The sequence below is a fragment of the Homo sapiens genome, chromosome 12, assembly GCF_000001405.40.
Source record: "Homo sapiens chromosome 12, GRCh38.p14 Primary Assembly".
Classification (NCBI taxonomy): Eukaryota; Metazoa; Chordata; class Mammalia; order Primates; family Hominidae; genus Homo; species Homo sapiens.
This window is the reverse complement of record NC_000012.12, coordinates 103,757,110-103,780,656: the sequence shown is the minus strand read 5'-3', so window position 1 is coordinate 103,780,656 and position 23,547 is coordinate 103,757,110. Positions and strand designations below refer to the sequence as shown.

Here is a 23,547-nt window from a genome sequence, read left to right as displayed (position 1 = left end):
CATGCATTATGTTTATATGTAATCTTTACTGATAGGTTAATAACTTCATAATACATCTTAATTTGTTAAACCACATTTCTAATGTTGGACATTTAAAACAATTTTTTATTCATGAAGAAGGCAGGGTTTCAACTGGAAGGTCTGAAAAATGTATTATTTCATTCAGGTGCCAGCCTCTGAGATGTAAGGGAATAAAATTTCTCCTAGAAAAACTGCTCATTAAAAAATTCTCATTACGTAATGAGCTTATTTGAAATCAAAACAGTTGTAATAATTGACTTGTGTCCTACAGGTTCACAGAGATGCTGAGTCACAGCTGGTTTTGCAGGAGTGGAAAAAGGAAAGGAAGGAGATGCGGTAAGAGAGGCCTGTATTGAATGTGCGCGTCCACCACCCTGTTCTGGCTGTGCTCAGCCCACATGTGTTCCCCAGGGCCAGCCTGAGGCATAATGTTGAAACATCCTATTTTAGCTCCCAGGTATGTCTGCCTCCCCCAGGATCCAGAATCAGCTACCTGCTGTTGGTAACATGTGACAAATTTCCTTGAGGCCAGCCATCACCCCTGTCATTCCTCCGCCCTTGCCATCGAAGGCCTTTGGAGAACGGAGCCTTCCCATCTCATTCCTCCTTCCTGCCTGCCTGACCTTCCCATCTGGGCAGCTGGTGGGCCAGTTGTTAATAATGCTGGCAGCACCATGTGGCTACTGGGCAGCACTGGATTTGGGCTCTGAACCCTCAATGAATTCTTAGGGCTCCTACGACCCTGGTGCTTATTTGTAACCACAGCTATTTCAAGAATGTGCAATCAGTAAGCAGGATGTTAACTGATAAAGAAAGCCTGCCTGCCATAAGAAAAGTTTGGTGGGTGTCTGTCTTAAGGGAACCCATACTGACAATCATGCTTCCCTAGAAGGATGCTTTATACCACTTGCATGAACTTTTCTGACTTTGTGCATGGCTTTCTTCAGCCGCTGGGTATAGCCGTCTCTGAGCTTTGGAAACAGTGGTTACTGTGGGATTCTGGCCTCTCAGCAGTGGGCAGCCTGACTCCAGGGTTCATGTGGTGGTGTGCGTGGGTGGGTGGATGGGGCATGGAGAGGGGGCAGTGAGTCCATTCCTCAGATTCTGCAGAAGCCAAAGCTGTATTGCATTTAGTTTGTCCTCCTCCCTCTCAGAGTGTTGGCTGTCTGAGTCTTATTCTAACTGCTACCAACTAACTAGTGGCTTTTATCACACAGCTGTGTAAATGATTATATTTTTTGCTGTGTTTGTAAATGACTTATTAGCAGTCAAATAGAATTCATTCATTTTAATGGAATACTCTGTGTGTAGGGTCCCAGCCATCAGAGAGAGTGCACATCCTGTGTTTGTATGATAGGGATGTTGATATAGATATACATGCCCGTAAGGATGACTGCAGGGGGTTATGGGGCTTGGATGGGGTGAACAGCCTCACTTCCGAGGAGGCTGGGAGGCATTGAAGTATGTAATGGTTGGGGGAGATTTACATCACATAAAACAATCTTTAATTCCTCCATCTGAGCACTTGAGAGTTTACAACATGCTTTTATTTTGCTTACCTTACTCAGTTCTCACAATAACCTTGTAAAACGGGGTCTTGATCCTTTCGGTAAGGGAAGTGGAGCCTCCTGAGAGCATTCCGTATTCCTCTGTGTACCATCGGGAGCAGCTGTTGCATCCTGTGTTTAGGTTTGGGAGATGGGGCGTGTGTATTTAGAGAAGCTTGCAAAAGAATCTGGAGCCTTGAGACAGTTAAGGGGGAAATGTGACCAGAGTCGTTTTGATGGATGGATAGGCAGGCTGTTTTCTTTTCTTTTCTTTTCTTTTTTTGAGATAGGGTCTCATTCTGTCACCCAGGCTGGAGTGCAGTGGCACAGTCACAGCTCACTGCAGCCTCAACCACCCAGGCTCAAGTGATTCTCCGACTTCAGCCTCCTGAGTAGCTGGAACTACAGACATATGCCACCATGCCTGGTCAAATTTTTTGCATTTTTGTAGAGACAAGGTCTCACTATGTTGCCCATGCTGGTGGGCCAGGGCGCAAGTGATCCACCTGCCATGCCCAGGCCAGACTGTTTTTTTTGTTTGTTTGTTTTTGTTTTTGTGAGACGGAGTTTCGCTCTGTTGCCCAGGCTGGAGTGCAGTGGCATGATCTCTGCTTACTGCACCCTCTGCCTCCCTGGTTCAAATGATTCTTGTGCCTCAGCCTCCTGTGTAGCTGGGATTACAGGTGTGCGCCACCACGCCTGGCCAATTTTTGTATTTTTAATAGAGACGGGGTTTCACCATGTTGGCCAGGCTGGTCTCGAACTCCTGGCCTCAAGTGATCTGCCTGCCTTGGCCTCCCCAAGTGCTGGGATTACAGATGTGAGCCACCACACCTGGCTCTAGGCTGTTTTCTTAATTAATATTTGGGGCTGCTCTAGGCTAACATGTTTCTCAAATGAGTCCTATTTTTTTTTTTTAAAAAAAGAAGTGATTTTGATTTCAGTAGTTTAAAAACAAGGATTTTTGAATCATTCTCTGTTGCTTTGCTTTTTTATTGCCTCTTCAGAGAAATGACCAAGAGTTTCTTCAATGCCCAGTTTGGAAGCCTGTTCCGCACAGACCAGAACCCAACCTACTTCCTAAGGCGCCTGTCGCGCTTCGCTGACATCTACATGGCGTCTCTGAGCTGCCTCCTGAACTATGACGTCAGCCACACTTTCTACCCCCGGAGGACTCCACTGCAGCACGAACTGCCCGCCTGGTCAGAAAGGCCCCCCACCTTCGGAACCCCTCTCCTGCAGGAGGCCCAGGCCAAGTAGCCAAGGGCAAAAACTAGAAACTGTAACTGCCCCTGATTGGGCAGGCATGATGGGGTTGACTTCATGTGGGTCTGAGTGTTGCTTTTGGAAAAGATACAGATAAGCCTTTTGATATTTATTTTGTACCTTACGGAGAATAATTCTCCCAATGGTTAAGACAGGAGCTAGCAGCCCACCCCTCCAGCCTTTCCCCCCATGCAGGGCTGAAAGGCAAGCTTCACATTGGAACTCTGATTTTGCCTTTTTGTTTACTGAGGTCCTGGAACATCAGGTTTCCTGGGATAGGTGAGACCACTTGATGCCATGTCTGTATTCTAGCAGGTCAAGCTTGAAACGGTTCTTGACTCCTCCATGGAACATTTCCTGAACATTTACGGGCTATGCATTGGGAACTGCAGGGGCACAGTGATGGGCAAAGATTAGCTGCTTCCAGAAGGCTGATTTCGTGGGCTCCACAATGGTAAAACGCTGCTGTGAGTGGCAGAGAGGTTCCCCAGGTGATGGCCAGTTCCCAAATCATTTGGTACTAAGGCTTTGACATTCTGGCACATCACATCAAATAGAACACAGCCTCCCTGGAAGGACTTAAGTGAGAAAGAACAAGAGAAGCTGCAACTCCTGGACCCTTTTGTCCTCAGTGTGTGGTTCCTGCGTCCTTCCCCAGCATGGAGGAGGGCAGGAGAGAGGAGATGAGAGCTCTGGTCAAAACCTGCCAGCTAGTGGAACAGCCTTCTGTAGAGCCTTCTGCAAGAAACGAGTGGGTTTGAAGAACCAAAACATTTGTGGTAGGTCTCCCAGGAGCTTGTTAAACCTGGAAACACCACCTGAGTTGGTTTCATCTGCTCATTGGAAGAAAGAAAATGAACCAGGAAAAAGCATCTTTGTCATGAAATGCTATGCCATGCCACCCACCCAGTTGAATTGGAATCCTGTTAAAACATGAGATTTACCAGAAACAGTCCTTTGTCTAGATGGAAACAAACAAGATCCTGGCTTCTCTCTAATGAGTTACCAACTGAGAGGTGCTTGGATTGGCCAGGGGAGGAGGAAGATGGCCACCACAACTTAGCCATGTCCAGCCTTCTCTTAGATTTCACTCCTGTGATGTTTGTGCGACTATTTGGGAGTTTGTGTAGTTTGTTTTTTTTTTTTTTGTTTTGTTTTGTTTTTTTTTAGATGTCTAAGATGGGAAAGGGCGAAGGACATTGAAGCTAAGGAATAGATATGACCTAGCTAACCAAGCTTTTCTCATTTCCTTCTGTTTTGTTTTGTTGAGATGGAGTTTTGCTCTTATTGCCCAGGCTGGAGTGCAGTGGCACAATCTCAGCTCACTGCAACCTCTGCCTCCCGGGTTCAAGCGATTCTCCTGCCTCAGCCTCCCAAGTAGCTGGGATTACAGGCATGCACTACCACACCCAGCTAATTTTGTATTTCTAGTAGAGATGGGGTTTCTCCATGTTGGTCAGGCTGGTCTCGAACTCCCGACCTCAGATAATCTGCCCGCCTTGGCCTCCCAAATTGCTGGGATTACAGGTGTGAGCCACCGCACCTGGCCTGCTTTTTTCATTTCTTTCTAGGGGCAATGCAAGTGGCATGTATTCCTTTTGTTGGAGGGAAGAATCCTTAATTGCACCTGCATTTGTAGTATCCTTCAATGTAAAGTGCATATTTACTGCACTCTCTGAGTGCTATGGGAATGTCTGCTGTTATTAGTTATGGGGCTGCTAATACTGTTTTAATTGCATATGCTATATCAATACTTCTGTTCAGATTAGCCTAATCTAGTATTGCTAAAACTCATTTTAAGCTTTTGCGGTAACTTGTATATATTCTTAAATCTAAAGGATGGCAGGAACATGAGGGGAGCTTGTGGAGAGTGCTTGCTTATTCAACATTTTTATTGTGATAAATGTATGTAACCATCTATTGATGAAATCCAAGTCTGGCATTCCATGGGCTCCTTGCCAGATGGCAGAAACTTAATGAGTTATATAGCATCCTTTGTAATGCTGCTTGTTATAGTTGGAATGTACTTGTGATATTTGGCTGTATTTAACTATAATGGTGAAGGTGACCCTTTAGATCCAATAAGGCTTCTCCCCATCTTCTACATTTTGTTATGAACACAGTAAGGCACAGTAGTATGTTCTTTTTTTGGAACAGGGTAGGCATTTTGTTTATTGTTTGCTTGCTTCTAGGTGTTTTCGCCATCAGGGTGTATTGGAGGCTGACACTTAATGGGTGTGTGTTGCGCCCAGAACTGCTCGGTGTCGGGGTTCTAAAAGAATGCGCTGGTGTTCTTGGCTTCAAGTTTCTGCTTTGGAGAAGCAGATTCAGGAAGTAGGTGTTGCTTAAAAATAATTCTTGGTTTTTATCTAATCAGATATTCATTGATTACCTACCAGGTGCCAGTTATAGGGTGTTTTGTTTACTCAAGAATGAAGTAGAACTATTTTTAAAACCTGTTTCCATGAGTGTTCACGTTAGGTGACCTAAGCTTTGAAGGAGAAAAACATTTTTGGGTATGAATAATGAGTTTTGTAATCAATTCCCAGTTAGAAGAATTTCAGTCTCTGGGCCATTGAGCTTGGCAGTGTTGAGATCTCCCATGTGACAGAAGCCTGACATCTGGGCCACCAAGGCTCACTGACTGTGTACCTTGCAGACTGTAGACCCATGTCGTGGCGGTAACGGGGCCGAACACAGTCATTCCCATGTGAACGATGGAGGCACATCCCACTTTATTATTAATCCTTGTATATACTCAGTCAGGACAGATTTTAACTTGTCGCTGTCATGACTTTTTTTTTTTTTTTTTGAGGCAAGGTCTCGCTCTGTTGCCCATTCTGGAGTGCAGTGGTGTGATCTCGGCTCACTGCAACCTCTTGCCTCCCAGGTTCAAGCAATTTTCGTGCCTCAGCCTCCCGAGTAGCTGGGACTACTGGTACATGCCACCAGGCCTGGCCAAGTTTTGTAGTTTTAATAGAGATGGGGTTTCACCATGTTGGCCAGGCTGGTCTCAAACTCCTAGCCTCAAGTGTTCTGCCCACCTCAGCCTTCCAAAGTGCTGGGATTCTGGGTGTGAGCCACTGTCATGCCTGGCCTCGTCATGACTCTTTTCTCTTTTTTTTTTTTTTTTTTTTTGAGATTTAGTTTTGCTCTTTTTGCCCAGGCCGGAGTGCAATGGCACGATCTTGGCTCACTCCAACCTCCGCCTCCTGGGTTCAAGTGATTCTCCTGCCTCAGCCTCCCGAGTAGCTGGGATTACAGGTGCCCACCACCACATCCAGCTAATTTTTTTGTATTTTTAGTAGAGACGGGGTTTCACCATGTTGGCCAGGCTGGTCTCGAACTCCTGACCTTGGGTAATCCACCTGCCTTGGCCTCCCAAGGTGCTGGGATTACAGGCATGAGCCACCGTGCCCAGCCTATCATGACTCAACTGGGATCTGGCACACTGCACTGGGTGTTTTGTTCTCTGATGTGCACATTGATGAATGCATATTGGTACAAGGGAAATGAATCTGTTTTCAGCCATTTAAAAAATTGTGTTGTAAAGCAAACAAAAATAGCTTGAACATTTAAAAATTACTGTTTAATATTGTTTGACTGATTTTCTAAGAATTATGTGAACAATGATGAGTCCAGGGCAGCAGCCATCACAAATATGACAGTCCAGCAAGGCCCATGGAGGTCCCTTTGGAAGGGACTTGCACAGCTGATTTTCTTTTTCCAGTGTTGTTTTTACGGGTGAAACGTGGCTTTTGAAATACTTTAGTTGTTTGGCTTAGAGCTCCCACTTTCCCCCTAACATAGTGCCTGTCTGTTTTTTAAAACATTTTACCCTTCGGCACTATTTTCTGCTATTCCCATTAATATTATGTAACATAAACCACTTGCTACTGATTTGGGCATATTACAGACTACAATTACTAGTTGCTTTGAATGCATTGGCACTCTTAATTATTGCAAAGGAGAATTGAAAAGTAGTCTTGTGGTCCTAGTTAATTTAGCTTTGGGCAAACTAAGTGGCTTTTCTTCTGTCCTCTTCTCAAAAGGCCTTTTAAGCAGCAGAGACTGGGCTAAATACTGGAACTGAATTCCACTTTTCTGCCTGCTCATTTGCTGCCAAAGACCACTTGGGGCTCCTTGTCTAGAATGCTCTAAGACGAAATTTGGCCAGACACAGGGTTCCTTGATTGTTCTGTTCAACTAATAGAGAACCTACATTTTGCCTTCTTAATATCGACTTTCTTTTGTACCAGGTTTTTCTTTCTTTCTTTTTTGCCTTAGGAGCTTAGCTCAAAGTTCAGCTAACCTTTGACACTACTAGTGTCATTTAGTAACAGTAATCTTTGACACTACTAGTGTCATTTAGGAGCTTAGCTCAAAGTTCAGCTAACCTTTGACACTGCTAGTGCGTTCAAGAAAGGGTAGGGAATGAAGTACCCTTAATGCAGGGTCAGCAAACTTTTCCTGTAAAAGGCCAGATAGGAAGTATTTTTGGCTTTTTGGGCTGTTTGCTTTTGCTACTACTACTGTGGGAATGACCATGGTCATGGCTGTGTTCCAGCACAACTTGATTTACCAAGACAAGCTGTGGGCTGTATTTGGTCCTCAGGCTGTGGCTTGCTAGCCCCTGCTCTAATGGATTGTGTTGGCGGCAATGGCAAGATTCCCTTGCTGAGAACATGCAGATGAATAACCTTATAGCTGGGATGCAGAGAGGAGAAAGTTCTGTAGGTAATAAGTGCACTGTATTCCCTCTGAGCTACTTCCTGGGCATAGTTACATGTATGGCCAGTGTGTGTACTTGAGCCATCAGGCTCAGACACTTGTTGAATATACCTCTCATTGCATTAGTTTGTAATTGTGCTAGTGCTGGGTGCTGAGCTCAGCTGCCCGGATGACCTTTCCAGACTGAAGGACATACTCCCCTAACAGCTGGGAGTGCTGCTGGCTGGCCATTTACTTCCAGCCCTTATGAGGAGTTTCCCCTGCTGAAGAGCCCTGCCTGCCCCAGATCATACCCCCTTCCTGCCTGTAACCCTTACCGGCTCCATATGGGGTACAAAGGGCTGGCCTCCTCACCCCAACTTGGGAAACCCTCTGGGGCCATCCCAGCTCCAGAGCCCCTTGTGGGGTCAGTGAGACCTCATTGTGGCCACATTACAGCCCAGTGCCTCTCCCTGACAAGCCTGTACCCAGCCGGCTCAGCCCACAGCACTGTCCTATGAACCTTCCTGCACGCCATTCTCCACCTCAGTATCTGCTTTCGGGGAACCCAACCTGCGACAGTGCTTCTGTGTGTTTTCAGTCCTGCAGGTTTGAACTCTGACTTTGGAGACTTTTCCAGTTATCTCGTGGAATGACAGATTGTGCCTGTATGATATCAGGCACAATTAATGCAAATTAGGCAGACCTATTTATTCTAGATGTGAATTTGCTATTTATTTTAAATGTTGATTTTATGTGTTATGTGACTCTGAACTTATTGCCAAATAAAAGTTTGAATTGTATCATCTGGTTTATTGTCAGTCACCTATTTTGTGTGCTTAAGTCTGCCACGTTAAATTCTGATGAATCCACAGTATCGTTTTCTAAAAAGGCATTTTTTTCCAGGACTTGAGGTTATTTCTACAAAAATAGATAAAGGAGATCTTGGATTAAAAAAAATTCTAAGGGACTTCAAAAAGTTTATCCCTGAGAGAAGGGATAACCTTTTTTGGGGAAAGCTCAAAGGTTTCTTCTCACTACCCCCATCTCCCCCCACCCACAGCAAGCACACCCACTTGTTTTCAGAGCTTGAAGACTGTCATTCCTCCCATGGATATCTTTTTTTTCCTCCCTTCGATCACCTGCCTTTGTGTACCTGTGATGGTGGGTGTTGGTGGACTCACTAGCAAATCTGTCCCATATTGATTTTTTGGGGGCGATTTTCTGGAAACTTGGCATGTCATCTAAGAGGAAATGACAGCCTGCTCCTCTGCCTGAAATATGGGCTGCTTCTCTTTCCTGGAGTTGTGAATGAGCTTATAAGACACTTGGGGCTTCCAGAACTTTGGGCTTGGCTCAGCAGAAATCCCGACGATGTGGAATGCAGTTATTTGGGCAGTGAAGGCAGCAGAGAGGAGAGCCTGAGCTCAGCTCAACCCAGCCTTTCCCTCCGTCCCCAGTGGTGATTCCCAACCTTGGCCAGCAGTGCCCCCTGGGGACAATTTGGAGATGTGGGGAGAGGTGGGTTGCAGGGTGCTTGGGTTTTGCAGTGATGGGGAGGGGATGTCTAGTATTTTGAGGGCAGGGACCAGGCATGTTAGACCCCCTGCATTGTAAGGGAGAGCCCAGTACACTGAAGCATGGTCCCCTGTCTACACATAAATCTACGTGATACAATTCATGTAGGTGGAAACATGTTTATAATTTTCTAAGCCTAGAAACTCTTTTATAGGTAACCACAAAAAATTTTTGTGACATAATTTTAACATACTGAATTTTCCAGGAATGCAGCTATATGTAAACCAAAGGAAGATTTTGACTTCATCTTATTCAGAGCTTTATAAGGAATTGTTCGTCATTTCAGAAGAGCACATCCTCCACAGGAGGCCACTCCTGGTATTTGAGTCGTGAATCACACCCGTGTCAGTCTGCATTTCTACTGGTCATTTCCATGAAGATTATATAGACACACGTATGTAAGACTGTACTTACTGTCTGAGTCCATTCATGCTGCTATAACAAAATACCATATGCTGATTTAGCTTATAAACAACAGAAATTTACTTCTCACTGCCCAGGAGGCTGGCAAGTCCAAGATCAAGGTGCCGGCAGATTTGGTGTCTGGTGAGGCCTGTTTCCTGGTTCACAGATGGTGACTTCTACATGGTAGATAGGTTGAGGGAGCTCTCTGAGGCCTCTATTATAAGGGCACTAATCCCTTTCAGGATGCCCCTCCCCCTTAATCACCTCCCAAAGGCTTACAGGCTCACTTACCACCCTCCTAGTGTTATCACCTTGGGGGTAAAGATTTCAACACAGGAATTTTGGGGGTCACAAACATTCAGACCATAGCACTTAACCTTTATTTTAAAATGTCAGCCAGGTGCAGTGGCTCATGCTTGTAATCCTAGCACTTAGGGAGGCCAAGGTGGGAGGATTGCTTGAGCTCAGGAATTTGAGACCAGCCTGGGTAACATAGTGAAACCCCATCTCTACAAAAAATAAACCACATTAGTTGGGTTTGGTGATGGGTGCCTATAGCAGCAGCTACTTGGGAGGCTGAGGCTGGAGGATCACTTGAGCCCAGAAGGTTGAGGCTTCAGTGAGCCATGATTGAGCTACTGCAATCCAGTCTGGGTGACAGAGTGAGACCCTGTCTCAAAAAAAAAAAAAGTCAATTATTTAAAAACTCATTAGTCAAATATTTTCTAAGATCCAAATTTGTTTTAAGCAATTATAATTGTCTTCATTGTGTCTTCTATTGGAATTGTAGCTGAGATTTTACCAAGTATGTATTTTATTGTAAGTTACTTTGTCTTTCTGTTATAGAACATTATATATACATTTCTAATTCTTCACTCATTTATTTTTTAATGACAGGTTTACATGTATAGCTTTAAAAGGCAAATCTAAGCATACTTCCTTAAAGATGCATTATAAACTGTTTTCTTTCAGTGAATGGAAGTGTAGAATATTACACTGATTAAAAAAAATCGTGTGAGGATAGGCCATGTTTTCTATGAATTACTTTTCATGTCGCCAAGGAGCAGGTGCTCTGGGTCAAGAACTGCAGATTTAGAGAAACTGCCTCGTGGCTGCACATCCATGCAGGCCCCTCCAGGAAGTCCTGCCGAGAGGCTGAGCCTGCCTGCCCCAATCCTTCGCATTACTTTCCTCCTCAGCAAAAATATCAGGTATGGGAAGTTGAGGCAAATTGTCATCCCTGGTCACTCCTCTCACATGCCTTTTCTTCTAAGGTAATTCTAGCAATTAACAAGCTAACACATTTGTCGTTAAAAATGTTTCAGAATTTCTTTGTAAGTAGTTGGGTGAGGTGATCTTTTCCTCCCTGCTCGTAAGACAAGAAGAGATGTTGGGTAGAGGCTCAGTCCATATATCTTTCTGAATAGCTGCGCCTCTGGCGTTAGTGGCAGTCAGCTGGGGTGGCCAACAGCTGTAGCCTCCCACCCTGCATCCTGGGTCCACCAGCTGGGCAGTAACAAGGAGCCTGGACCATGAGAGGGGCAGTTGTCTGCATGGGTCCCACTGACCCGGCACTCCTCCAAGCTCCATTTGCCTAGGGCCTGCTCTGTGCCCTGCGCTGTTCTGGAACTGGACATAGCAAAGACCCTGCTCCATGCAGGGCACGTGTGTTGGGGACGGAGTTTTCCGCTGGTGTTTGCCTCAGGGCTCAGGAGTGGGGAACCAAGTTGTCAAGAGGTGGGAAGGGGAAGTAATTCAACACTAGTGCACTGCACCCCATGCTGAGGGCCTGCTGGGGATTGGCTCATATTACCTCATGTGACAGGCTACAGTGCAAAATAATTTGTGCCCCAGGAGTTTCAGGAACACTAACAAGGGCACACAGTTATTGCGAGAAGTTGGTTGGGTGGGCCTGAGTAGGCTAAGCCCATCTGGGTGATCCCCCATCCCCTTTGCCTGTGCCAGTGGAATGTGGCATCTTCAGACTCTAGGGCAAGTTTGTGTGTGTGTGTTGGGGGGAAGGGCATTTCTAGGAAAGAAAGTTCCTCACTGTTCTGAGCCAGCTCCTATGAGAGGCTCTCTCCTGAGTGTAACACTCTATGGAACTGACAAAGCCACTTTATCCCCTCGAGGAAATCTGCTGTAGGTGCACTCAGAGGGCAGCGTGGGAAGACACTGGGTCTTCGATGATGTCTTCGAGGCTCTGAGTGGAATCAACCCTGAGGCTGCCCTCTTCTGGGTCTTCCAGTAACAGCTAACAGTAAACCTGCCGTGCTGTCTAAGCTAATGTGGAGTTGTGTTTTCGGGTCCTCAGTCTGCTACGGTAAGGCCTGCATACAGTTGATACTTCATCCTCAACAAACTTGTGATGTTGAAGTTTTTCCCTTAACTATTAAGTAAGGGAGCCTACAGTTGAACCTGTTTCTTCTGGTTGTAAATCTCAGGTGTTTCTACAGAAGGTATTCTCTCTCTTTCCCTCTCTCTCTCTCTCTCTCACTCCCTCTCCCTCTCTCTCCCTCTCTCCCCCTTTCCCTCTCCCTCCCTCCCCCTCCCCCTCCCTCTCTCTCCCTCCGCCTCCCTCCCTCTCCCCCTCTCCCTCTCTCTCCCATCTCTCCATCTTTCCCTCCCCCTCCCTACCCCAAGTTTGTATGAAACCCTGCTTGTGATAACACAATTTTTTCAAACTTTCTTTTTTTGGATGGAGTCTTACTCTGTCACCCAGGCTGGAGTGCAGTGGCAGGATCTTGGCTCACTGCAACCTCCGCCTCTCAGGTTCAAGCGATTCTCCTGCCTCAGCCTCCTGAGTAGCTGGAACTACAGGTGTGCACCACCACGCCAGGCTAATTTTTGTAGTTTTAGTAGAGACAGGGTTTCACCATGTCGGCCAGGCTGGTCTTGAACTCCTGATCTCAGGTGATTCACCTGCCTGGGCCTCCCAGAGTGCTGGGATTATAGGCATGAGCCACTGCACCTGGCCATTTTCAAACTTTTTAATGGGCTGTAGTATCCCAAGTGTTAAATTTTTTTTTTTTTTTTTTTTTTGAGAAGGAGTCTTGCTCTGTTGCCCAGGCTGGAGTGCAGTGGTGTGATCTCAGCTCACTGCAACCTCTGCCTCCTGGGTTCAAGCTATTCTCTTGCCTCAGCCTTGTGAGTAGCTGGAATTACAGGTCCGTGCTACCATGCCCAGCTATTATTTTTTTTTTGTATTTTTAGTAGAGACGGGGTTTCACCATGTTAGTCAGGCTGGTCTCGAACTCCTGACCTCGTGATCCGTCCATCTCAGCCTCCCAAAGTGCTGGGATTACAGGCATGAGCCACCATGCCCGACCTCAAGTGTTAATTTTAACTGTGCCTAACACCTGGCTAATACCCAGGCCAAGGTTTCCCTTTGCCTTCTGAAGGAAGGGGTCTCGGTGCAAATCAATCACTCTTGCAGTGTGTCCAAATGGGAGGGGCATCTTCAACATTCTTTGGCAGGTTAATTGTATTTAAAAGACCCCAAAGCCAGCTCACCTGTAATATTTGGAAAGATGATGTATTATTTAGTTATCATGTCTTCTTTGAGATATAACTAACAAACAGCATACCATGAAATTCACTGTTTTAAAGTGTACAATTTCGTGTTTCTTAGTATATTCATAAGGTAGTACGACCGTCACTGCTATCGAATTCCTCATCATCCAAAAAAGAAACCCCATACCCATTAGCAGTCACTCCTCATTCCCCTGGCAATCAACCTACTTTCTGTCTCTATCAATCATCAATTTGCCTATTTTAGCCATTTCATATAAATGGAATCATATGATATGTGGTCCTTTGTGACTGGCTTCTTAATGTTTTCAAGGTTCATCTGAACTATTGCATGTATCAGTACTTCATTTTTTAGGGCTAAATGTTTTATTGTTTGGAATACCACAGCTTCATTTATTTTTCAGCTGATGGACATTCGAGTTGTTTCCATTTTTTTGGCTTTTATGAATAATGCTACTGTGAAGATGCATGTACAAGTTTTTGTACGGACATATCTTGATTTCTGTCTCTTGGATATATACCTAGGGGTGGCATTTTTGGGTCATATGGTAACTCTGTGTTTAACTTATTTTTTTGCCAAACTGTTTTCTACAGTGGCTGTACTATTTTGGATTCCCACCAGCAATGTATGAGGGTTCTATTTTCTCCACATCCTTTCCAATACGTGTTACTGTTTTGATTCTAGCCATCCTCGTGGGTGTGAAGTGACATCTCATTATGATTATCATGTCTTCTTAAAGAAGCAAACACAACCAAATTCAGAAGAATTTATAAGGCTGGTGTCTGATTGATTGAAAAGGCCCCAGGAAGTGGATTTTGCCTTCAGAGTTCAACTCCTCCTCTGGTGCAGTCCCAAAACACTAGGTTTGTTCTGTTGACTTTGTTTCTGTTCCATAAACCTTTATTGTGCACAGTTCCTGTGTCAGGCACTGGGCTAGGGGCTGGGATACAAAGACGGAGGCTTACAATCTAACAGGGAAGAAAGATCACAGTTACCCATCATGTAGGGCAGAATGGAGCAGGTGCCAGCTGAAGAGTACAAAGGAAGAAGAGCCAAAGGGTCAGAGGAGGAAGCTGTACTGGGTGGGCACAGCAACACATCTCTCACCCACAGAAACAACCCCCAGATCAGCCAGAGAGATGAGGTATGGCTTCTGAGTGCTTAAAGGACTTTACGTTCCTAAAAGGCAACTGGTGCTGAGAATTCACAGTTGATGGCCCAGGTGGCAGTGAGTGATGGCTGGCATCTCCCGTCCAGGCCCTCACAGTGTCCTCAAGGGGTCATTGCCCTCAAGCTGCCGTTCTTCAGAGTCCTGGAAAAGAGAGGGTTGTAAGGGGGCAGGGCATTCTGTGTGTTGAGTCCTAGTTGAATCTTTCTGGTGGCCACTGGTCTGAGGCATGACTCTCCCTGAGCACTGTGAACACGTATGTGCTGGGCGTGTTTGTTTGTGCTGCTGCCTTGTGTTGGGAGGCAGGATGGGCTGGGGGTAGGGCCACCTGTTTTAGTCTCTCCTGCTTGAAGCTGGGTGGCCCAAGACAAATCATCCCAACTCGGCTGCAGTTTCTTCATCTACAAAGGGTCATAATATACCTCACAGGGAGGTAGGAGGATTAAATTAGAGCCTACATTTAGCAAGGTATAAGCACCTCACAAAAGGTGGCTAATAATATTATAAAAACTCCTTTCGGTTTGAAAATTCATCTTGAACCAGTGGTGGCTCTTGAGTGCCTGAGAGAGTGTAATAGAAACCCCGCTCAGCCGGGCATGGTGGCTCGCGCCTGTAATCCCAGCACTTCGGGAGGCTGAGGCAGGCGGATCACTTGAGCTCAGGAGTTCGAGATCAGCCTGAGCAACACGGTGAAACCTTATCTCTACAAAAAATACAAAAATTAGGTGGCACATGCCTGTAGGCCCAGCTACTCGGGAGGCTGAGGTGGGAGGATCACCTGAGGCTTGCAGTGAGCCCTGATGGTGCCGCTGCACTCCAGCCTGCGTGACACACCAGGACCCTGCCTAAAAAAGGCCACACTCTAGAGGTGGCCATGCCAAGCCTTCTGCTGACTTTAGCTCTGACTGGCACCCAGGCTTTGTCAATTAGCATAATAGATGCTAGAAATGGCTTTTCATGGGTAAAACTAGTGGTGGTAAATGTGTCTGGAGTCACTAAAAATAGTGTCAAAGGCGTGAGAATGTAGCACGTCACTTTGTAAGCTGGTACCTTATGCTTAGGATTCTGGAATGTTTTTGCCATGTAGTCTGAATAGTAGGTTTAGCTGAATCCTGCATTTAGGCTACTTTCTCACCTGCCTCAGGTAAATCTTTCATGCATGGTGCTGATAGAGCCCTCAGAAGGGGACAGACAACAGGGAAGGCATGGGGTGCATTGGAGAGGATGTATGCATTTGTTTCTGCTTTTTAAATGAAGGTGATTTCAGCATAACAGTACTTAGTTAACAAATGTAATTTAGCTGAACTTACCACCTCCCTTTTTTTTTTTTTTTTTTTTTTTTTGAGACAGAGTCTTGCTCTGCTGCCCAAGCTGGAGTGCAGTGGTGCAATCTCTGCTCACTGCAACCTCCGCCTCCCAGTTCAAGCGATTCTGTTGCCTCAGCCTCCCGTGTAGCTGGGATTACAGGCAGGCACCACCGCTCCTGCCTAATTTAGTAGACATGGGATTTCACCATGTTGGCCAGGCTGGTCTTGAACTCTTGACCTCAGGTGATCCACCTGCCTTGGCCTCCGAAAGTGCTGGGATTACACGCATGAGCCACTGCACCCGGCCCGAACTTACCCTTGAAATGTGAACCAGAAGCCTTTACATGGGTTTGATTAAAAAAATATGATTTGCAATCTGGTTATTTTTCAGTCTATTGCATTTATATTAAATCTGTTACCACAGGCATGAAGAACCACAAGATATTTACCTTGATTTACTTTGGAAAAATAATATCTGTTACACTATACAAACTTCAACATGGTGGAAGAAAACATTTCTCTCCTTTTATAAAAAGAAAAATTAAGTTCTATTCCTATGTATTTTTTTCAGTCGAGAACTGGTATTAAACTACAGGCAGGATGTACTTCCACATGTGTTATGTATGGGGTACCCTGCCAAGGGGTCCCCCTGGATTGATGTCAGTGGAGGCCCCAGCTAAGCTAAAGCATCACTGACTCTAGAGATAAATGGTCCCCTTCTGAAAGACCAGAGCAGAACACCCACCCATATATACTATAAGGCCTCATCAAAGAAAAGTAGCTCCAAAAGCAAGAAAGCAGCAGCTCTGACAACAAGCAGTAAAATCTTGGACAACAATGTCAGTGTAAGTAAGTTTAAAGGACATCTAAGGCCAGATGCAGTGGCTCACGCCTGTAATCCCAGCACTTTGGGAGGCCGAGGTGGGCGTATCACCTGAGGTTGGGAGTTCGAGACCAGCCTGACCAACATGGAGAAACCCTGTCTGTATTAACAATACAAAGTTAGCTGGGCATGGTGGTATGCGCCTGTAATCCCAGCTACTCGGGAGGCAGAGGTTGCAATGAGCCGAGATCGTGCCACTGCACTCCAGCCTGGGTGACAGAGTGAGACTCCATCTCAAAGAAAAAAAAAAAAGGACATCTAAAGGAAAAATCCTTTTTCCATCTTGTTTTGCACCTGCTACCTCATAAATGATTGCAGCAGAATTCAGCCCAAGACTTTTTTTCACTGTGGCATCTCACCTGGTCATGAGATTGGGCTTGGATAACAACCTCTTGTTCTCGCCTGTCTCTGTTTGTTCAAGGATTCTGCTGTCTACCCAAGAGAACCCAGGAACTCTGAGCAACCACACTGGCTTCAGTCAGCTTGCAAAACTGGCTTTTAGGCTTGTTACCTGACATACATTCTAGAAATGAACCTTCTTTGGTACAAAGATCTCCACTGAAATTTCCTAAAAGACATCATTCCCCTGTACCCCAAGGGAACCTATTCCTAGATAAGAATGCAAACTCACCGTGAAGGGGTCGTAGGAAGGTTCTGGGGGAGCTGAGGTTGTGCTCTCATACAAGGGGTTCGAGATATTCTCAGGCTGCTGCTTGCCAAGAGCTGCAACATTAATGTCCTCTTCCGACTGTTTGGAAAGACAAGCATGAAAGCCAGGAGCATCCCCAAAGCAGGAGCGTCTCAGCCAAGTTGGCAGGTAAAGCAAGCCACCCTTTGCCTCTGGGAGCTTTTCCTTTTTTAACAGTACTTTGTTGAGAGATGATTCACATATAATAAAATTTACCAACCTTTAGATTCAGCTCAGTGACATCTTACCGATGTCTGCCCATTTGTGATCACCACCAAATCGGCACATAGGGCATTTCCATACCCCAGGATGTGTTCACATGCTCTTAGCCTGCTGGTGCCTGCCACCCAGGGTAACTGCTGTTCTGACTCCCATCACCCTGAAGTGGTGTTGCCTATCCTTTAACTTAATATAAATGCAGTCATACAGCCTATACACTTTTGCTAAAAATGGGGATTTTGAGATTTTCCCTGGAGCTTATAAATATACAAGCTGTCTGCCAGAAGGCAGCAAACTGCTGCTTGGGGGCTCTGCACCACAGCCTTTACCAGGAGTGTTTTGAGGAGAGGGTGGGCCAGAGAGGAGGACAAAGTCCATAAGGAAAGATGCTCAACCGCTGTGCTGCTGCCCCGGCCATATTCTTACACAGCCAGTCAAGAGCTGGCTGCTGATTGGGATGTGGACTCAACTGTTCAAATAGAAATGAGTGTCACTGGCTGCAGCATAAAGCCTCTGGCTGTGTAGGGTCCCTAGCCCTGTCCCCCAGTTCTCAGAGCCGGTCTTGAAGCCCAAGCTAGGTCATGGGGTGTGCTTGTGCAGTGAATCCTCCAAGGTAAACAAGACTCCTAGGTCCTAGTGAATGTGCCTCCAGGCCAAACCCCTGGCACAGAGGCTCAGGGTGGGTTCTCTCCTTGCCAAGCCCTGTCTCAGCCAGAAGGAGGGGCTTGGAACCACCACTGCTGTTCCTCTTAAGAGCAGGGACCCCATCCAAGCAGCAGTAAGCGTGGGGTGGGTGGCCGCCCCTGCTACTGTGTGACACACTGCTTCTGGGTGAGGACTCTGGCGCAGCCACCGACTGAAGCAGCCCAGGTCCAGGGACTGGGTTTTTGGAGAGGACCCCATCATCATGTTCCCATTTTTCTCTCTTACCTCAAAATGCTGGAAGCCGATTGTTCTCCGGTTTATCCGAAAGTAGGAGTAAGCAGCCAAGGCAACAGCCCCAGTCACCAGGATGATGGCAAAGAAGATCCCTGCTCCCAAGCCAGTGTGGGTCAAGGTCTGAACACAAAGAAAGGAAAGGGGCCCATTCTTAAAACTTCTGACTCCCCAAAAGGGGAACCCTTGGTGGCCCGAGGCATTCTGGAGCCAGTGGGGATAAAAATACTGACATGTTAACATGTATCTGGCCCTTATTACTGCCAGGGTCTAATACCCTTCTGTGAAATAACCCATTGAAGTGTGATAATAACCCAAAGAGATAGGGAGAGTTATTATTGTGGGAGAACTGGGGCACAGAGAGGTGAAGCACTTGCCCGATATCACACAGCCAGTCAGTGGTGGAAGTGGGCTTTGAACCCAGTCTGGCTTTGGAGCTTCTGTGCTTAACCACTATGCTGTGGAACTCTCCAGCAGCTCACCTCTCCCCTCATGCTTTTGCAAAAAAGAATACTAACAACCACCATCACCAACTTTTATATAGCATGTACTGTGTGTCAGGGGCTGTTCTAAGTGTTTTCCATTTCTAACTTACAATCCTTCCCAAAACCCAGGAGGGAGGCATTATGAGCCCCATTTTGCAGATGAGAAAATTGGGACTCAGAGATGCTACGAAGTGGAGGGGCCAAACCATAGCTTAGGATTTCTCACTCCCCTTCCAGCGCTTCCTTTGGTGGCCCATCCTCCCCCTTTCATTCAACAGATATTAATGGTGACTGGTGCTGTGTTGCTAATGCTTGGGAGTGGGGATGGCAGGAAGCAGGGTTGGGCGGTCCTGGCCAGCTACCTTGGAGGTTGGAGGCTGGAGGCTCCTCCAGTCTCTGGAGGAAGAGGGAGGAGGACAGGGCTTCTGGTAATGGTTTGCCTGTTGGTGAGTGGGCACCGGGGCTCCTCCTGGCCCGTTATCAGGGACCCTAGATACTCACCACGGGGGCAGGGGGTGCTTTTAAAGGCCTGGAAATGACATGAATGATCCCATTGGAGGCAAAGATGTCCCACTGCAGAATGGCTCTTCCATCAACAAACCTGGTCTCCGTCTAGGGAAATGAGAAGAGGGTTGATGGCTTTTACTCTCCGAGTGGGCAGCCCTCCATGGAGGGAAGTTGTTCAATTTTCCCAAGGCCCCTGAGCCCATGTTTCAGGTTTGTCTCCACTGATAGGCAGCCCAGGACTTCTCCTCACCCTCTGGACAGCCCAGAACACATTAATTGTCCTGTGCCAACAAGCTGATCTGAGGGCTGCAGAGAACCTTATGGGTCATTTGTCCAACCCACTTGTCTGACAGATGAGTGATCAGAAGGAAAGTGGCCTGACCCAGATCACCCAGGAAGTAGCAAACCCCATGCCTGTGGACGCTGCGTCCATGCACTGAACATCGCACCACACTGTTAGAAAAGCTGTATTTTAAGTGATGTCCCAGTGTGATTTCCTGGCTTGTGTGGGCAGAAGCTGAGGCCCTGTGCCTTCTCCCCTGCTGAATCACGTCTTCATTTTAACAAATCTCCAGCAGATTCAAATGCACATTAAATTTTGAGAGACACTAGTCTAAACTGCTCTTAAATAGAAATCATTTAATGAGATAAATATTTAAAACCAATATTTATTAAGCACTTGCTACCTGTCAGGCACTACTCTCTGCATGTCTCAGAACCTGAATCCGACATCATGGTTATCACCACCTCCACCGCTACCCCCACGGTCATCTCCATCAGTATCATCACCATCATCCACACTGAAGGGGCTTAGGACATGTCACCCCAAAATAACACCATTTTGGGCTGGGCATGGTAGCTCACCCCTGTGATCCTAGCACTTTGGAAGGCCGAGGCAGGCATGTCACTTGAAGCCAGGAGTTCAAGACCAGCCTGGCCAACATGGCAAAACCCCATCTCTATTAAAAATACAAAAATCAGCTGAGTGTGGTGGCGGGCACCTGTAGTCCCAGCTACGCGGGAGGCTGAGGCAGGAGGATCGCTTGAATCCAGGAGGGGGAGGTTGCAGTGAACCGAGATTGTGCCACTGTGCTCCAGCCTGGGTGACAGAGCGAGAGACTGTCTAAAAAACAACAAAAAACCACCCCCCACACACCATTGTGGCATTATTAGTTATTTTGAGCAGAAGTCACTTGAGAAACGGCAGTTGCAGGAAGGGTTCCCTGACCTGCTGTCTCCCTAAAAGCAGGTAATACAATTTCCCATGAGAAAGTGCCCCTTCTGTTCCAGAAGAGAAGAACATCCTTACTGGAGACTGGGAGTAGATGACGAAATGGATCTGTACAAACAAATCTACTGAAATACTCCTTATCTTCCACTCATATCCACCATCTATTTCTTAGTCATGCCACAATTTACTGCCCTTAGCCTAAAGCTCTTTATTTGATCAATTTTCCACAAATGTATCATTTCTTTAAAAAGTAAATAAGCTCTTGATCCCAACTGTTCTTTGGGTCTCTATTCTCCATATGAGGGTTCCCTTGATTCACATAAAAGATTAAATAAAATGTGTATGCTTCTCTCCTATTTATCGTATGTCTATTTAATTCTCAGGCCCAGCCACAGACCCTAAGAGGGTAGAATAAGTTTTCCCTCCCTTGTATCACAATCATGAAAATAATGACCTGTATCATCATCACCACCATCACCATCATCCTGATTTTTCAGATGGGGAAATTGAGACACAGGGAAGCTGGATAACTTGTTTAAGTCCTTACAGTTAGCAAGTGGCAGAACTGGGATTCATACTGGGGTCATTTGACTTTGGAGCTCATGTTAATGCCTGGAATAGTCTGACAAGCTGACCAAAATGAAGGCGGAGAATCAGCTTTAAAATGGGTTCATTATCCTTCCCCATAACCAGCTTCTGAGGCTGCCCTATTTCCCAAGGGGTAGGGGCTGCCCAATTGTCAGTGTGGTATGCTGTAGTGGGCAGTTAACACCGTCCCCTATCTGCAGGTTTAGAGTTTATGTTTGCATAATAGTTGCCATCTATTAAGCACCTACTGTATGCCAGGAACTTTGCATGCATTATCTCCCGTTCCCCCAAGAAGCCCAGAAGACTTTGTACCGGTTGGAGTGGGTCCTGGCTGGCAGTGATGAGCAGCTTGCTTCCCAGCCTCGTTTGCAGGGTGGTGCCATTGACAAGGTCATTGTAGAAAAACATGCTGACATTGGCGAGGTGGTGCTCGATGTCCCGCCCAGACAAGGTCTGAGAAAAAAGGAGAAACACAGAATGCTCTTCAAAGGCCAAGCAATATTTTGTCTTTTTAATGATGGGGATGACGAAGAAAATTGCTTCTCATGGCCTAGGCTTTCCTGCCTCCATGTGGAGATCAGGAAATGTCAAGGTTTTCTTAGGCTTCTGGTTGTCTGGGCTCTGCCAGAGGCCACCTATAGCTAGGATGGGGGATTGAATGTCATTTGTATTGTCTAGAGCAGAGCTTTCCAGCGGTGTCTTGAGGTAGGCAGAGGTATTGCTTTCCTCAGCCCTCAGGTGGCTGGTGGGGCTGTCGGAGCCTCAGGTCAGCCACCTGTGCGTGAATTGAATAAATACCGCCAATCCTCTGTGTGCCGTGATATGAAGAAGGTTGGTGTGGAACACAGATTGCATCAGTGGCCCTGGTTCTTCCCCACTCCCTGCACCCCTGGCCCTTTGCCCCCCATGCTGACTTTGGGCTCAGTCATGTGACCTATCAGGCCAGGGGCACATTAGCAAATGTGACCAAACAGAGGCTTGAGAAAGCACTGTTGGGACAGGGCCTACTCTCGCCTCTCTCACTCCCTGCCATTGCCCTGAGAACTCGCCTGGGCTAGCCTGTTGGACGATGAGAGTTCCATGGAGCAGAGCCATTGATGGCCCAGCTAGAGCAGCTGACAGCTGGTCTCAGACCCGAGTGTGCCAAGACCAAGGGAGTGGCCAACTGATCTGCAGATGATCTGTGAGCTAAATAAATGTGTAGCCACTGAGTTTTCAGGTAATTTGTGACACAGCATTGTTGTGGTGATAGATAACATGCTAGTCTAAAGCAAAGGCACCAGGGACTCAACTCACCTCATTCTCCCCCAGCCCACTGTTCTGTGGCACAAAGAGGGTGCCGCGGATGGACAGGTCAGTCAGGTGTTCTAGAAATGCACGGCCTCGAGCTGAGCTGTTGGAATAGGCCAGCACTTCCTGGGGAGAAGAAGGAAGTCATCAGAGGGGCCAGCCCTGGTGTGCAGGGACCTGGGTGGCTGAAGAAGGTCCCAGGGCATCACCCATCTGTGAATATTCATGGTGTGAGCCAACTCAGCCTGCTGCTCCTTTGCTGTGTCTTCTGCCTGCGCCGTGGGAGAGTTTGAGGACTTTTCCTTTCCTCAGTGAATCCTATGGTTTAAGACACAGCCACGTCACAGCCCATCCTCCACGTGGCTGCTTGAGCAGCCCTTTGAAAGGTGCATCAAATCTCGAGTCTTCTCAAAATCCTGCAGTGGCCCCCCACTTCACTCAGAGGAACAGTCCAAGTCTTCATAACAGCTCACGAGGCCCAAAGCATGTGGCTGCTGTTGCATCTCTGACCCCAGGCCTAGCTTGTCCTCTCTTGCTCACTCTGTTCCAGCCATATGGGGCCTCCCTGCTCTTCCTCAGACTTGCCTGGCACGCTCCTGCTGCTCATCCTTTGTTGGACTGTTCCTTCTGCCTGGAATGTTCTTCCCCTAAGTCTGCATGGCTCACTCCCTCTCCCCTGTTTACACTTTGCTTACATGTCACTTTCTCCCCAAAGCCTTCCCCCATCACTTCAGACAGAAGGGGGACCCTGGGGTGCCCCCCAAGCCCTGCTCCACTTTTTCCATAGGATCTGGATCTATCATCTTCTAGCACTCAATACTATTGACGTGTTTGTTCCATTTATTGTTTGCTTGCTTGTTCACTGATATATCTCAAGCACATGGTAAGTGCTAAATATTCACTGATCAGGCTGGGTGTGGTGGCTCACACCTATAATCCCAGCACTTTGGGAGGCTGAGGTGAGAGAGCAGCTTGAGCACAGGAGTTTGAGACCAGCCTGGGCAACATAGTAAGAGTCCATCTCTACAAAAAGTTAAAAAATTAGCCAGTGTGGTGGTGTGTGCCTGTAGTCCCAGCTGCTCTGGAGGCTGGGGTGGGAGGAGCCCTTGAGCCCAGGAGGTTGAGGCTGCCATGAGCCGAGATCATGCCACTGTACTCCAGCCTGGGCAACACAACAAGACTCTCT

General features: G+C 46.8%; 2 protein-coding genes across 13 annotated transcripts in view, besides 2 other annotated features; one reads left to right on the top strand and one right to left on the bottom strand.

The window, feature by feature from the left end:
- The window catches only part of NT5DC3 (5'-nucleotidase domain containing 3), a 94,920-nt gene that overhangs the window by 60,578 nt on the left and 10,795 nt on the right, over positions 1–23,547 (top strand). For 2 of the 8 annotated variants that reach the window (NM_001031701.3, XM_011538476.3), the window contains 2 exons: positions 293–357; positions 2,576–8,347. In NM_001031701.3, coding sequence (NP_001026871.1) covers positions 293–357; positions 2,576–2,828 — 318 coding nt within the window. In that variant the 3' untranslated portion in view covers positions 2,829–8,347. Of the gene's footprint in view, positions 1–292; positions 358–2,575; positions 8,348–9,327; positions 11,851–13,743; positions 13,923–16,838; positions 17,235–23,547 lie in introns of those variants that run through there. The other 6 variants (XR_007063093.1, XR_007063092.1, XR_007063091.1 and 3 more) reach the window with 6 other exon arrangements.
- Positions 10,651–11,160: an enhancer, noted in NCBI's record as "H3K4me1 hESC enhancer chr12:104163275-104163784 (GRCh37/hg19 assembly coordinates)". NCBI's record gives its function as "activates a minimal SCP1, AML or CMV promoter by ChIP-STARR-seq in naive H9 embryonic stem cells {active_cell/tissue: H9 hESC(naive)}" and the evidence as "EXISTENCE:reporter gene assay evidence [ECO:0000049][PMID:30033119]".
- The window catches only part of STAB2 (stabilin 2), a 179,447-nt gene continuing 169,837 nt past the window's right edge, over positions 13,938–23,547 (bottom strand). For 4 of the 5 annotated variants that reach the window (NM_017564.10, XM_011538539.3, XM_011538541.2 and 1 more), the window contains 6 exons: positions 22,368–22,487; positions 21,384–21,524; positions 19,247–19,357; positions 18,255–18,383; positions 17,049–17,165; positions 13,938–14,371 (listed from right to left, as the gene is read on the bottom strand). In NM_017564.10, coding sequence (NP_060034.9) covers positions 14,321–14,371; positions 17,049–17,165; positions 18,255–18,383; positions 19,247–19,357; positions 21,384–21,524; positions 22,368–22,487 — 669 coding nt within the window. In that variant the 3' untranslated portion in view covers positions 13,938–14,320. Of the gene's footprint in view, positions 14,372–17,048; positions 17,166–18,254; positions 18,384–19,246; positions 19,358–21,383; positions 21,525–22,367; positions 22,488–23,547 lie in introns of those variants that run through there. The other variant, XR_007063104.1, reaches the window with a different exon arrangement.
- Positions 21,999–22,499: an enhancer, noted in NCBI's record as "H3K4me1 hESC enhancer chr12:104151936-104152436 (GRCh37/hg19 assembly coordinates)". NCBI's record gives its function as "activates a minimal SCP1, AML or CMV promoter by ChIP-STARR-seq in primed H9 embryonic stem cells {active_cell/tissue: H9 hESC(primed)}" and the evidence as "EXISTENCE:reporter gene assay evidence [ECO:0000049][PMID:30033119]".